The sequence below is a fragment of the Homo sapiens genome, chromosome 8, assembly GCF_000001405.40.
Source record: "Homo sapiens chromosome 8, GRCh38.p14 Primary Assembly".
Classification (NCBI taxonomy): domain Eukaryota; kingdom Metazoa; phylum Chordata; class Mammalia; order Primates; family Hominidae; genus Homo; species Homo sapiens.
In genome coordinates this window covers 65,748,991-65,764,459 of record NC_000008.11, presented here as the reverse complement: position 1 = coordinate 65,764,459, position 15,469 = coordinate 65,748,991, and the positions used below count along the sequence as shown (strand labels likewise).

General features: G+C 39.7%; 2 protein-coding genes across 9 annotated transcripts in view, besides 1 other annotated feature; one reads left to right on the top strand and one right to left on the bottom strand.

Moving 5' to 3' along the window:
• The window catches only part of MTFR1 (mitochondrial fission regulator 1), a 134,710-nt gene that overhangs the window by 14,139 nt on the left and 105,102 nt on the right, over positions 1 to 15,469 (bottom strand). The window lies entirely within an intron of this gene.
• The window catches only part of PDE7A (phosphodiesterase 7A), a 127,731-nt gene that overhangs the window by 77,605 nt on the left and 34,657 nt on the right, over positions 1 to 15,469 (top strand). The window lies entirely within an intron of this gene.
• Positions 11,914 to 11,963: an enhancer, noted in NCBI's record as "active region_27463". NCBI's record gives its function as "activates an Ori minimal core promoter by ATAC-STARR-seq in GM12878 lymphoblastoid cells {active_cell/tissue: GM12878}" and the evidence as "EXISTENCE:reporter gene assay evidence [ECO:0000049][PMID:35858748]".

Sequence of the window (15,469 nt, the reverse complement as noted above, 5' to 3'; positions counted from 1 at the left end):
AGCATACTTTTTTCCAACCATTATCTGTTTGGTCTGCGAAAGCAGCTATCCATCATTTGTAATTTAGTCTCTCATTCAGACTCGAGTTTGCCAGCCTGTGCTTGTAGTTATGGTATTGTAGACTAAGATCTTATTTGTCTGGAGTGTCTATTAAATTTTAATTTCTTCCCAGTCGTTCATTTCTCTTGAAGTCATATCAGGTTGTTTCAGAGCAAACATTTCTTTAATAGTTTATGGCGATATCCCAGGAAACAATAATCCCATGTCCCTTTTTCCTGTCTTTTCTATCACCCATGCTCCTATCTCTTTTCTATTGTAATTCCTTACAAAGTGGTGCTTGTAGAGATTAGCACTGCTGTACTGAATTGCATTAGGACACAGAGCATTCTGCCCCATGTATGTGCAGTTTTTAAAAAAACTTTCACCTAGTTTCCAGGTGATTCATAAGTGCCTACATTTAAGAACCACTAATCTTTGTTTCTTGTTTGTCCTAAAGTTGAAAGAACAGAATGTTCTGTCTTCTAAATATCTTCCTTAACTCGATAGCATAAATTAGGAAATTGACCGATACGTATTGGACCTTAATCTTAATACAGTTTAATGGTAGTTTAATTTTACTTGTGCTTTGGCAAGTTGGTGACATTGGAAATTCAGCTTTATTTTGTATGTTAAGTTTTGAAGGAACTGCATTAAGACTTTGTGTACTTTGCTTTTCATCTTTCTTTCTCAGCTTACTTTAATAAGGGAATTAAGAATTTAATGACTGAGGAGCTATGCTATGTTCAGCGTCTGAGTTTCAGCATAAGAGGGATCCAGCATATCCCACATCCCAGCTCTGAAGAGTAAAAATATGCCTAACCCATAACAATAAGAGTAATCAATCTTTTTTTTTTTGAGACGGAGTTTCACTCTTGTTGCCCAGGTTGTAGTGCAATGGCATGATCTCGGCTCACCTCAACCTTCGCCTCCTGGGTTCAAGTGATTCTCCTGCCTCAGCCTCCTAAGTAGCTGGGATTACAGACCTGCGCCACCACGCCCAGCTAATTTTGTATTTTTAGTAGAGACAGGGTTTCACCATGTTGGTCAGGCTGGTCTCGAACTTCTGACCTCAGGTGATCCACCCGCCTCAGCCTCCCAAAGTGCTGGGATTAACAGGCGTGAGCCACCGTATGTAACCTTTTTATAGGGTTTTATGTCTCCCATATCCCTATTTTATTAAATTTTTTCAAAGTGAACATTGAATTCTGCATAATCTAAAACTTAGATCAATGTTATATGTATAACAAATATTCCCTCCCTTAAGCAATTCTTTTGGGAGGGAATATTGGTTGTACACATAACATTAATCTAATTTTTAGATTACGAGTGGCTAATTTATTTCTTTGGTTCATACTGAAGTTTAAGCTGTATATTCATTTTATACACACACACACACACACACACACACACACACACACACACACACACATTGTTTTTATATAAATATAAAGAGATGGAGGCTCACTATGTTGCCCAGGCTGGTCTCGAACTCCTGGGCTCAAGCAATCCTCCCACCTCAGCTTCCCATAATGCTGGGATTATAGGTTTGAGCCACCATACTTGGCCAATATACTTGTTTTATGGTAATGAGATTGTATGCTTATTCTGAAATATTTTAAATGTTTCCAATTATTTCTCTAGCACATTAGTTTTCAGGATGAAGTTATACTGTCATGAAAAATAAATCTGGTTTTGTTAAAAAAAATGGTATGACATATTTAAAAATATTTGATATTCATAATAATGACCATGTCTATTAATTTTAAGTGCTTTTTCTTTGCCAAAAATGTGCAAAGACATACTGCATATATTATCTCATTTAATCTTTAACAGTCTTGTGGGGCCTATTTTACAGATGAAGAACTGAGGATTAGAGACCTTAACTAACCTGTTTAATGTCACAGAACTAGTAAAAGTGGCAGAATTGGGATTCAAACTCAGATGTGTCTAATTCCTAAGCCCCTGTGTTCTCATGTACTTTGCTGCTCTGCCTCTCCATGTCAGCACGTGCTGCTCTACTAATGACCATTGCTGCAGACACCTAGCTGATTTTCCCCTATTCATTCATGCATGCTAAATGTAAAATTTTTTTCTAAGAAAATGTGTCCCGTAGATGTAGGGTAAGTGTAATTACCCGATGTTAACAATAGGCTTTTAGATACCACTCCTGTTCTTTTTGAGGGAAATCAAGAGAAAGAAAGGGAAGGTTAGGATATAGAACATCTTCAGGTTTGTTTTAATACCAGCGCCATTCAACATGACCTTGCCCTAGATTAGAGTTAAAACCTTATAGGACTGAATTAAAAAAATTTTAAACAATAATCTCCAAGGGTAATTCATGATTAGTATCTTCATGATTGTTAAGGTGGCAGATACAGTGGCTGCAGGGCTCCCTCTCGTGGACTGTTAAAGCAAGTAGTGGTCGGGTCTCAAGAGCCAGAGGCTTTTCTGTTAAAGGCCTCTTTTGTGACATCGGTTGTGGGAAAACATGCGATTTGGGTGATAGAAAAGAATCTGTGGAAGAGTTAGAGTAATACTGCTCCAGTTGTGTTGGTTCTTCAGCGCTTGTTTCCTTGACCTGGGGCTTGTATTTCCTGTCTACTTTCTAATATGAGGAGGGGAAAGCAACAGAAAAACATGTCTTTTACATTCGTCTGCTATCCCACTTTTTGTGATTTGGCTTAGAGAAGCTAAGAATCATTAACTGGAAGTAATACCCGTGATCACTAAGTCACAGTGTTCATTTAGGTTTGGTGGAGGCTGGTAGTTTGTTCTTGGTCACATAGTGAAGTAATGTGATATTTTAGAAAAGAGCCAGCAAAGCCAACTGCTCTTTAATAGTAACTTGATTAATTCACTGAGCCCTGTTGGCTTTCTAAGCTGGATTGGAATGTAGGTAACCATGTAAACTAGCACAAGCCTGGGACTTAAAATAAATAGTCCAGGCTTGATGGAAGTGGAGCTTTAATAAAGGCAAGTTTAATCTGTTGTGCATTATGCTGTGAAATAAATAATTTGTCTCATGTCACAGTGAGCTCATGAGAATATTGGTAAGAGGGCCAGGCGTGGTGGCTCATGCCTGTAATCCTAGCACTTTGGGAGGCCAAGGCAGGTGGATCACGAGGTCAGGAGTTCAAGACCAGCCTGGCCAACATGGTGAAACCCCATCTCTACTAAAAATACAAACATTAGCTGGGCATGGTGGTGCGTGCCTGTAATCCCAGCTACTCGGGAGGCTGAGGCAGGAGAATTGCTTGAATCAGGACCTGGGAGGCGGAGGTTGCAGTGAGCTGAGATTGCGCCACTGCACTCTAGCCTACGCCACAGGGCGAGACTCCGTCTAAAAAAAAAAAAAAGAAAAAACAATATTGGTAAGAAGGTCAGATATTGTGTAATACAGCCAGAGGGTGAGCTTTTTAGTAATTGTTCGGATGAAAGTACTAGTTAAATTCTCATAGTCACTCTTGTTCCCAGTTCCTCATGTATCCTCTCTCCTGTATTCCTAAATGATGTTAATTATTCAGCTTGATATCCTTTCCTCTCTGTAGTGGCCTCTATTTGCTTTTTTCACTCAGGTTTCGCTAACCTGCTGACAGAACACCTGGGTGTAACCTTCCCAGCACTACCCTCCTTCCTTTCCCCATAATAGGAGTCTAGGCTTTTCCAAAGTAAGAATTTTACATGTCATTACTCCAGGAAAACAGTGTCTGTGTGATGAGGGGAGTGGGGGTGTGGAGTAAACATGAAGAAACTAAAAATTTCCAACAGTCTTAAAGTGATCTCATCATGTTTTATCCTTGATTTATAGTTCTTGATCCCTTTTCTTAGATCATATTTTGGAAGCAATTCTAGGACAGTTCTGGAAATCTCTCTAATTTTCTTTTAGTACTTAGTCTCCAGTTTGGCATGGGTTTTAGACACTATTGAAGTGCACTCCTATTCCTTGTTCTACTTCTGAATACTTATTCTAAGGGAATCTATTAGGTTGTGTACAAAAATTTAGTTATAAGGATCTTTACTGCAGAATTGTTTGTAAGCAAAATAAAAGTTTGAAACAGTTTTATAGCAAAAATATTAAGTGATGATAATTTCATACATTAGACTAATACATGGCTAGTAAAAGTGATGTTACATATATTTATTGGCATGAAAAGATAATAGATACATTTTTGTTTTGTTTTGTTTTGAGGAGTCTCACTCTTGCCCAGGCTGGAGTGCAGTAGCACGATCTTAGCTCACTGCAACCTCTACTTCCCAGGTTCAAATGATTCTCCTGTTTCAGCCTCTCAAGTAGCTGGTATTACAGGCGACCACCACCACACCCAGATAATTTTTGCATTTTTAGTAGAGATGGGGTTTCACCATATTAGCCAGGCTAGTCTTGAACTCCTGACCTCAAGTGATCTGCCTGCCTCGGGCTCCCAAAGTGCTAGGATTATAGGTGTGAGCCACCGTGCTCAGCTGATAAATTCTGATGTGAAAAAAATAGTATTAACTTTCTTAGATGAAAGAAAAATTATACGTATATATACATATAGAAAATAATTCTTAAAAAAAAAATCTAGAGTACCAGGGTGGGGTGTTAACAATGGTTGTTTCTGGACAGTTAAGCTCTCACATGCAACCTTTCCCCATTCTCAAACCTAGGCTGAGCAAAAGAGAGGGTTTGGGATGTCTCATTCCAGAAAGGACCTTTAGGAAAAACCCCCTTTAAAAGAAAGGGGTGAATGCCATTCAAAATGACAGAGTAAGAACCTCCAGGGGTTGATCTCTCCACTGAAACAACTACCCAAGTAGAAAAAATGACCAGAATCAACTATTTCAGCATTCTGGGCCCTGATTGGACACTTAGAGTCACCAAGAGAGTACTTGTTGAAGGGAGAGGCCACTGTTTTTTGGCAGGACAGCTTGGGTGAACCAGTAGCCATCCCCCATTCCTCAGCCCTGTGGCCTGTGGGGATATGGCCCATATGCCTGCAGTATCTGGCTGAAGCCAGGGTGGGAAGTGGGGACCTTGGTGTTCTCGTCATTCTGGCGGATCCCTGAGGGACTGATGCAGATGTTTTCACAAGATTTGGCCCTCTTGGCCTCAGGGGTTTCCCCCAGTGGCATCTGTCAGGAGATTTAAGGAGATAGTACTGTCCTGAGCCCCTCACCCCCATTTTGGAGCCAGACACTTAAGGAAATCTGTGCCACATCACTGGCTGACTGCAGAGATACTGGAACAGAAACTTCAGTGATTACATACAAGGAATAGAAAAAGGCAAACAGACAAGCAAAGGGAAAAATAGTTTGGAAAAGACGTAAAATGCAAGCAAGTATCCCCGTGTGCCTCCCTGAGGTCCATGGAATGAGTGGATCTGGGGGTACTGCAGCAGTGTAGAGATGGGCTGAGTCAAGACATGTTCCTTTTGCCCCCTCTCAGACACATAATGACGGTAAGAACAGTCCTGTTTCTCCGCAAGAGAGACAGAGGCTGCCTATGGTTATGGGACAGATTCCATGGTAGGAACGCCCTGAACATAGCTGGCAAGTGAGACTGATGCTGGTAGCCCTGGGGGGCTACAGATGGGATAGACCTGATTCTGGATTGGGCTTTGCTTACTTGTGGAAGATGCAAATGCTTAGAGTGCCATTAAAGAACTAGAACAGAAGGTACTGCATGGATTTCGGTGGCCAACAGTTGTCAGACAAAGGAACATACTGTACAGCCCATAATGTCCAGCACTGGGCAGAGAGATAACCTCTTCAGAGTATAGTTTGAAAGATAAGTAGAAATGGCAATTGAAACACTGTCCATAACAGAGGGAGATGAAAGCACAAAGGGCTGGCTTACTCACCGTCACAAGTGTGTGCTCACATTCAGCATGAGTGGGACTAAAGGAGTGTCCCCACAAGATTTGTGTCTTTTTCTGGTGGATCTGGTGAATAGGGGTTGTGGAGGATGCTGATATGACTATAAATTCTTGCCAAGGGAGAAGTGCACTAGTATAACAACTGTAGTTTTTTTCTTTCTTCCCCAAATCACCTAAAAACATTTTTTCCCCCTTACCTGATACAGTAGTCCTAGGACTACAAGTGCTGGAAACAAGGATTATTTCTAAGCAAGAAAGTATAACTGTATTTTTAAGCCTTATGCCAGAATTCCTGAGGGCCTGATGGGGGTGGGTTGTGCCTTCACCCCATCTGGCAAAATTGGGGCTGAGAGTGAATACGGCTGTTATTGCCTAGTGGTAAAAATGGTTCACTAGTTCAGAACCTTTGTAACCCTACCCTCTATGAATGGGAATGGACACAGGAAAAGGCACTTGCTAGACTAGTATTACAACCAGCAATCTGGACTAGCACAGAGACCAAACTTAATGCTCCTTCCAAATGTGGAAACATTTGAGTAAAAATAAATGACAAGTGGAGAAAAGGAGGACTAATAACTGAGGGTAAATAAATGAGTAAGTGGGTTATAAATTGAGGGAAATCAAATATTACATTAAAAGTCTTGGAGTTGGCTGGGTGTGGTGGCTCACACCTGTAATCCCAGCACTTTGGGAGGCCAAGGCGGTCGGATCACGAGGTCAGGAGATCGAGACCAGCCTGGCCAATATGGTGAAACCCCATCTCTACTAAAAATGCAAAAGTTAGCCGGGCGTGGTGGCACACGTCTGTAGTCCCAGCTACTCAGGAGGCTGAGGCAGAAGAATCACTTGGACCCGGGAAGCAGAGGTTGCAGTGAGCCCAGATCATGCCACTGCACTTCAGCCTGGGCGACAGAGCGAGACTCAGTCTTAAAAAACAAACAAAACAAAACAAAACAAAACAAAAACAAAGTCTTGGAGCAAGAGACAACATTATCTCTTAGCTCAATTATTCCAGATGCCGGAAAGAATAACACTGTATGTTTGCCAAACTACTGCCACTTTTGGAACCTGACAAGATCTAAAAAAACCCTACAAACCTGAGTAGCCTCACCCTGGGAGACAGTCATGCACTATGATGGACTGGACTAGTTATTAATAATTATGTATATTCTTTTGATTTAAAGGATCCATGTATGAAAACCAGGGGATGACCTGTGGTATTATGTTTTTGCCCACAATTCCTGGCTTGTAACTTCCATAGCCCTTGTTACAGTCTTTTGTTGTAATGTTGAGTGTGTCAGGCCTCAGGAGCAGGCCTCAAGAAAAACAATTTCTCTGACCTTCTCCTGCCCTCCTTTCACCTGCCCCAAGGCAGGACTCTAATGTCTGCCCACTTTTCTGATTGTGGGTCCTAAGACCTTCCCCAGAGAGAGTCTTGCCCTATACCTTGGGGGAAGGAATGCTGACATTATGAAGCTTCCATAAAAACCCAAGAGGACCGCATTCAGGGAGCCTCCACATAGCTGAACACCTGCAGGTTCCTGGAGAGTGGTGCACCTACGGAGGGCATGGAAGCTCTGCACCCCTTCCCCCATACCTTGCCCTATACATCCCTTTATCTGTTTCCTTGAAATACCCTTTATCATAAGCCAGCAAAATTTTAAAAATAAACAATCCTGGAGGAGTAAAATAATTCAGTTTCCAGAGCTTCCCCAGTGTAAAACTTGGAATGTTCAGTTTCCAACAAAAAAATACAAAACATACAGGAAAATATAGCCCACAGGAAAAAAAAAGAATTTGATATAAACCACCCCGGAGGAAGCCCACACATTGGAATTACTAGTCAAAGATGTTAAATGAACTATCTTAAATGTTTACTGAACTAAAAGAAAACATGGACAAATAACTAAAAACAAATAAGGAAAACAATGTACAAACAAAATGAGAATCTCAGTAAAGAGAAAGAAATTGTAAAAAGGAACCAAACAGAAATTCTAGAATTGAAAAGTAGAATAACTGAAATGAAAAATCTGCTGTTGAAACCTTTGAGCAGGGGGAAGTAAGGATCAGCAAACTTGAAGGCAAGATAATTCAAACTGTCCATTCTGAGGAGTAGAAAGAGAGAGAGAAAAAAAAGAGAAATGAACAGAGCCTGAGAGACTGGTGGCACCATCAAGTGTACCAATACATGAATCACTGGAGTCCCAGAAAGAAAAAGGGGCAGAAAAAAATATTTGAAAAAATAAACTTCCCAAATCTGATGAAGACATGAATATGCACATCCAAGAAGCTCGGTAAATTCCAATCAGGACAAACTCAGAAATCCACACTGAGACACACTATAGTCAAATTGTTGAAACCCAAAGAGTAAGAATTTTGAAATCAGCAAGAGAGAAGCAACTTGTCTTGTACAAGGGATTCTCAATAAGATTAATAGCTGATTTCTCATTAAGAACCTTGGTGGCCAGAAGGGAATAAACTAACATATTGTCAGTCCTGAAAACAAAAACAAAAAACTGTCAACCACGAATTCCATATTTGGCAAAACTATCCTTGAAGAATGAAGGGGAGTTTAACATATTTCCAGACAAACAAAAGTTGAGGGAGTTCATTACCAGTAGACCTGTCCTACAAGAAATGGTAGATTCAACACAGTGGCACATGCCTGTAATCCTAGCTACTCAGGAGGCTAGGGCAAGAAGATCTCTTGAGCTCAGGAGTTCAAGGCCAGCCTAGGCGACATAGTGAGATCTCCATTTCAAAGAGAATAAGAAAGAAATGCTAAAGGGAGTTCTTTATGATGACATAAAAGGGTATTAACAGTTACCTAAAGCCATAAGAGGAAATAAAGAACACTGGTAAAGGTTACTACACAAGTAAATATATAAACCAGTGTTATATTTTTGGTTTATAACACCTCTTTTACTTATATGATTTAAAAGGCAAATGCATGTAACAATAATTATGTCTGTGGTAATGGGCACACACATATAAAGATGTAACTTGTGATAATAACAATAGGAAGGAGGAGGATTGGAGATGCATACGAGCAGTGTTTGTATACTATTGAAATTAAATTGGTATTATTCAAACTAGGTCTTTATAAGTTTAAGGTGTTAATTGTAAACCCCAAAGTAACCACTAAGTAAATTTAAAAATACACAAAACAGGAAAGGAGGGAATCAAAATGATGCACAAACAAAACAAAACAAAACAAAAACCTAAATTTTAAAAAGGCAATAATGGGCCGGGCATGATGGCTCATGCCTGTAATCCCAGCACTTTGGGAGGCTGAGGCGGGTGGATCCCCTGAGTTCAGGAGTTCAAGACCAGCTGGGCCAACTTGAGGAAAACCCATCTCTACTAAAGATATAAAAATTAGCCGGGCGTGGTGGCATGCACCTATAGTCCCAGCTACTTGGGAGGCTGAGGCAGGAGAATCACTTGAACCTGGGAGGCAGACGTTACAGTGAGCCGAAACCACACCACTGCGCTCCAGCCTGGGCAACAGAGTGAGACTCTGTCTCAAAAAAAAAAAAAATAAGTGAAAAAAAAAATAAACAGGCAATGATGGAAGAATTTTTATTTTTATTTTTATTTTTTTGAGGGAGTCTCGCTCTGTCGCCAGGCTGGAGTGCAGTGGCGCGATCTCGGCTCACTGCAACCTCCGCCTCCCGGGTTCAGGCGATTCTCCTGCCTCAGCCTCCCGAGTAGATGGGACTACAGGTGCATGCCACCATGCCCAGCTTATTTTTGTATTTTTAGTAGAGACGGGGCTTCATCTTCTTGGCCAGGATGGACTCAATCTCTTGACCTCGTGATCCACTCGCCTCAGCCTCCCAAAGTGCTGGGATTACAGGCGTGAGCCACTGTGCCCAGCCTAATGGAAGAATTAAAGAACAAAAAACAAGGCATATAGAAGACAAATAACGGCTGGGCATGGTGGCTCAGCCTGTAATCCCAGCACTTTGGGAGGCCGAGGCGGGCGGATCACAAGGTCAGGAGTTCGAGACCAGCCTGGCCAACATGGTGAAACCCCATCTCTACTAAAAATACAAAAATTAGTTGGGCATGGTGGTGGGCACCTGTAATCCCAGCTACTCGGGAGCCTGAGGCAGGAGAATGGTTTGAACAAAGAGGTTGAAAGTAAAAGAATGGGAAAGGAGGTATATGATGGTTAATAGTGAGTGTCAACTTGATTGGATTGAAGGATGCAAAGTATTGATCCTGGGTGTGTCTGTGAGGGTGTTACCAAAAGAGATTAACATTTGAGCGAGTGGGCTGGGAAAGGCAGACGCACCCTCAATCTTGGGGCGGGGGGGCACCATCTAATCAGCTGCCAGCGTGGCTAGACTATAAAGCAAGCAGAAAAACATGGAAAGACTAGACTGGCCTAGCTTCCTAGCCCACATCTTTCTCCTGTGCTGGATCCCTCAAACATCAGACTCCCAAGTTCTTCAGTTCTGGGACTCAGACTTGCTTTCCTTGCTCCTCAGCTTGCAGATGCCCTATTGTGGGACCTTGTGATCGTGTGAGTTAATACTTAACTCCCCTTTAGAGGGACAGAACTAATCTAGAGAACCCTAATATAACATACCATGCAGATAATAACCAAAAGAGATCTGGGGTGACTATATTATTATTGGCAGACAGTATACACTTTAAGTTTTGAAAAAAAAGGTTATGAGATAAAAGGCATTGTATGTTGATAAAAGTTTCAATCCAGCAGGAAGATATAATAATGATAAACACATACGTATATCTAACAATGGATTTCCACAATATATGAAGCAAAATTTGACAGAATTTAAGAGAGAGACAATTCTACAATAATGAAGACTTGAATACCCCACTTTCAATAATGGATAGGACAATCAGAAGAGTAATAAGGAAATCGAGCACCTGAGCAACACTATAATCCAGTTAGAGGTAACAGACACAGAGTACTCAACAGCAGAACACAAATTCTTCTCGAGTGCACATTGAATAGACCATATGTTAGGACACAAAGAAGTCTTAATTTTTCTTTTTTAAAGCTTAGGGGTGGGTGAGGGTGGGGAGCTCACCCTGAAGTACAAAGCTAATTATTTCACTTTCCACATCTGGTCTAGGATCTGGGTTAAGCAGGGTCCAGTGCAGTCTCTCTGGGCCCAGTATGGTTTAGAGAAATAGCAGAGGCATGATCCTAAGAAGCAGTTTATTTCTTTGGCAGAGAAGGAGAGAGCCATTTGGGTAGTAGAGCTCAGAGGGATTTCCTCTGCTCTCTCCCAAGACCTCCCTTTTATCCCCATTAAGAACTTGGTACAAAGAGTTGGTCCAGGAAAATTCAGCTCATTCAATAATGACTTTTAAAAAAGGAAACTGGCACAGCAGATAATTTAAGTAAAACAGTGGAAGACAGCAGCAGAATTTAATGACTGGAGAGCACTTAATGGAATAGTGCTGCCATAGAACTGATGAAAATTGTGACTAAATTTCCTACCACTCAAAAAATTAAATTAAACAATAGCTTTACCATAAAGCACAAATTTAAGAACTCAGTGAAGAGATAAGACAACAAAAGGAGTTCAGTTGCATTAGACATGTACATTCAGAATCAGAAAATAGTAGAAGTAAAATTTAAATATATCATGGAAAGGAAGACAGATTTGGAAGGCGACAAGATAGAATTTATACTGAACACAGTAATGGTTATAGTGGATAGAAATGAGAAAAGCAAACAAATAGTTAAAAAGAATTGGAGAGAAAGTGAGATAGAAAACACATAAAGGTGTTTCAACATAGACAGTTTAGAGTGTCTGATTTTAAAAAGCTAAAATAGTGGAGCAAAGTAGATATTTAGAGATATAATTCAAGAAAACTTTCCAGGAATAACAGAAGATTTAAATTTGTATATTGAAAGAACATACCAGGCAAAAATGACCCAGAATGGTTAACAATGAGATATATCTTAGTAAAGTAATTGGCCTTTAAAGAGAAAGAAAGAATTCTGTGGGCGGCCATACAAAAATACCTAGTCACTTACAAGGGCAAAAATAACAGGTTTGCCTCAGATTTTGCAAGTTTCAATGCCAGAGATAATGAACCAGTACCTTCAAAGAAATTCAAGAAAGGAAAAGGAGAACCAAGAAAGACAAAAGACTACTGAAAAAAAATTTGAACATTCAATAATATATTATGAGTGAAATATATTGCTGTGAGATAATTTTGTTTTCATGAGCACTTAAGGATACTACTAGAGTATGAACACAAGCAAATAGATAACTGGGGAAATTAAGATAAAAGGTCTTGCGTTATTGAGTATATTCAGTTTCTACAGCTAAGCCTAAAATGAAAGTAGAGATAAGAGTGAAAGGAAAAAAATATGCTCTGGTAACTAACAATACTGGAAGAGGAAAGGGGAAAGAAGATGGCATATAGAGTGACTTCCTCGTGCAATAACTGAAAATTAGAGGATGATATCTCAAGCTGACAAATCAAGTAGTAGAAATATAAGCATATTTAACAAAACAAAGGTATTCTTGCAAACTGTAAAACTGTAGCAGTGCCCTTCAGTAGAGGACTGGCTAAATAGATTATGATTCATCTGTATGATAGAATACTTTACAGCCTTATAAAAGAACAGGGAAGGTGTCTATGCACTGACAGGGAGAGTGATCCACAATAAATTAAAAAGCAAGATGCAGAACAGGTTGTAAAATATGCTACCATTTATGTAAAATAAGTAGAAAAATAATATGTTTCTATATATTTAATTTTTTAAAACTCAGGAAGGGCTGGGCGCAGTGGCTCACGCCTGTAATCCCAGCATTTTGGGAGGCCGCGGCAGGCAGATCACCTGAGGTCGGGAGTTCGAGACCAGCCTGACCAACATGGAGAAACCCCGTCTCTACTAAAAATACAAAATTAGCTGGGTGTGGTGGCCCATGCCTGTAATCCTAGCTACTTGAGAGGCTGAGGCAGGAGAATTGCTTGAACCCCGGAGGCGGAGGTTGCGGTGAGCCGATATCGCACCATTGCACTCTAGCAACAAGAATGAACAACAAGAATGGGCAACAAGAGATGAAACTCGAGAAAAGAAAAAAAAAAACCTCAGGAAGGATACAATAGAAACTTTAAGATAAAAGTTACCATTTTGGGGTAGGGCTTGAGAGTGGTTGTATAAGGGGACACATAGAGGGTTGAATCATTCACTGTTATTTTCTTTCTTCCCTCCCTTCTTGTTTTTGAAACGTGAATGCATTACATATTCAAAGATTAGATTAATGAAAAAAATCAAACCAGACATCCCCCGAAAGTTCTGGTCCTCTATTAAATCTTAGACAAAACTTTGAGGTAGTTTTAGTTGGCATCTCTGCAAAGTCTCGTGGGATTTTCATTCTTTACCAGAATATAATCTTGTTACGTGTAGGCTTCCTGTATGAGGCCCTCAGACCCTGTAGGTGAAGAAAACACTTTTCCTTGAATGATCTTCCATTTCATCTAGACAGGCTCCATGTCCTTTCTTAATTTGTCTGTGACATAATCAGTAATTGATAAGGGTGGTCCTATATCATTAAGTGAAGGTCCATTTCTTATCCTGTTATGTAGGTTTCTTTATGAGATTAATCTTAGAAGGCATTGGGCTTCCATGATGAGTGATCATTTCCTTGTGAGTCAATATCTAATACTCATTTGCAGCTTAACTTGGTCAAAATAGAACTCTTGATAATGAATCTTAACTTCAGGGCTCTGTGAAACAGGAAACATGATTTTTTTTTTACAGTTAAGGAAAATGAGATATCAGAAGGTTATGACTTGTCAGAAGTTGCCCAGAAAATAAGAGTTAGGCAGGGGAGGATACAACCATGATTTCATGGTTGGGGCCTTGGCTCCCAGACAGTACCAATTGACTTAACCATTGACAGTATGTATCCTACCATGGTGACAGAGCACAGTGGATTGAATTGTTGGAGTTTCCCTCTCAAATGAGGCTAATTCATGTTTTGGACCTTATGCAGTTGTCCTTGCAAAGAGATTCTCAAATTCTCTCTCTGTCTCACACACACACAGACACACACAGACACACACACACACACACACACACACACAGTGATTCTAATTTACATATATACATACAGTGTGATCCTAATACACACACACAGCAATCCTAATTGCCAGTAATAAAATTGTTACCTTTTGTGTGTAATTTAAGGTAAATCAGAGGGAATGCTCATGAAGTGGCACTCATGACCTTGAACTCTGCTTTAGGTTATTTTTTCATAATAAATACAGTACAAGTATTCTGCAACATTTTCTAAAAGTTTTCTAAGTGTGTCGGCTCTAATGCATTCATTGTATTGCATTTTTACCTTGGTTTCTAAGGATATATTTGTAAAATGGAGATGATAATCTTTGCCTTCTTCACAGGATGGTAATGATTACTAAATGGGATAGTGGATGTGAACATACTCTGGTAAAACTGTAAAGTGCTTTACAAATACAGAGATGGTGGTGCTAGTGTTACATTAATTAGATCTTATCTCCTCCCCCACATATTCATGCCATGCTATTATGTCCCTTGCAGATCCACTTTTTTCTAGTAATAAAGTTAGAAGAGTCCGTTATATACTTAACATTCCTTTGCATTAGCTATTTTCCTTCTGTTTCTTTTTCTGTCCATATCTTCATCTGAAATAAAGACTATTTTGAATAAGGATGTACACAGAATTTTGTAATGGACAGTAAATAAACAATACTGTAGAAATATAATTTAAAAACCCTTGTGAGTAAACAGGCTTTATAAACAGATCTGTGTTTTTTAATCCAGGTGTCACCCTATATTGGGTATGTGACCTTAGGAAAGTTATTTAATTTCTTGTAGGCACAGTGTTCTCATGTGTAAAGTGGGGCATACTATTTATCTTTTGAAGCTGTTGATGGCTAAATGAGATTCTTTTTACAAAGCACTTGGAACATTGCTTTCATAGAATTTAATCTACCCAAATTTCTTCAAACAGACCAATTCTAGTTTAAACATAATCATCACTTGATATTAATAGTTTTTACTATTTTGGTTCTAGTCCTTTTTTTAAAGTAAGTTACATTGGTAAAGATCAGAAATTTAAGATTCATAATTGTTTTAGATACTTGCATTTTACTCACTGGAATGAAAAATGGGAGAAGTAAATCACATAACAGTGTGCATTATTTTACTTCTGTTTATTTGTGTGTATGGGAACCTCAGAGTTCATCAGATATTTTAAAAATAGTATGCATTTATTTAATATATTTTACAATTACTTACTATATGCTTTGCATTACTATTAGGCTTTGGAATACAGAGGTAAAAAAGATAGTTCATGCCTGTTCTGAAAGTCATCATTTGTTCAAGGAGACAAAAAACTAATTATAATATCAGAAGTACTATTATAGATGAATGCACAGGGAGCTTTGGGAAGCCAGAGCGGGTGCTTCCCGCCTCTTCAAGATAGGGGCAGTGTACTGAATGTGCTTCCCAGGGAAGGTGACAGCTGAGTCAAGTCTACAAAGAGCCAGACTTGGAGCGTGAAGCCTTCTCTTCCAGGCTAAGGAAA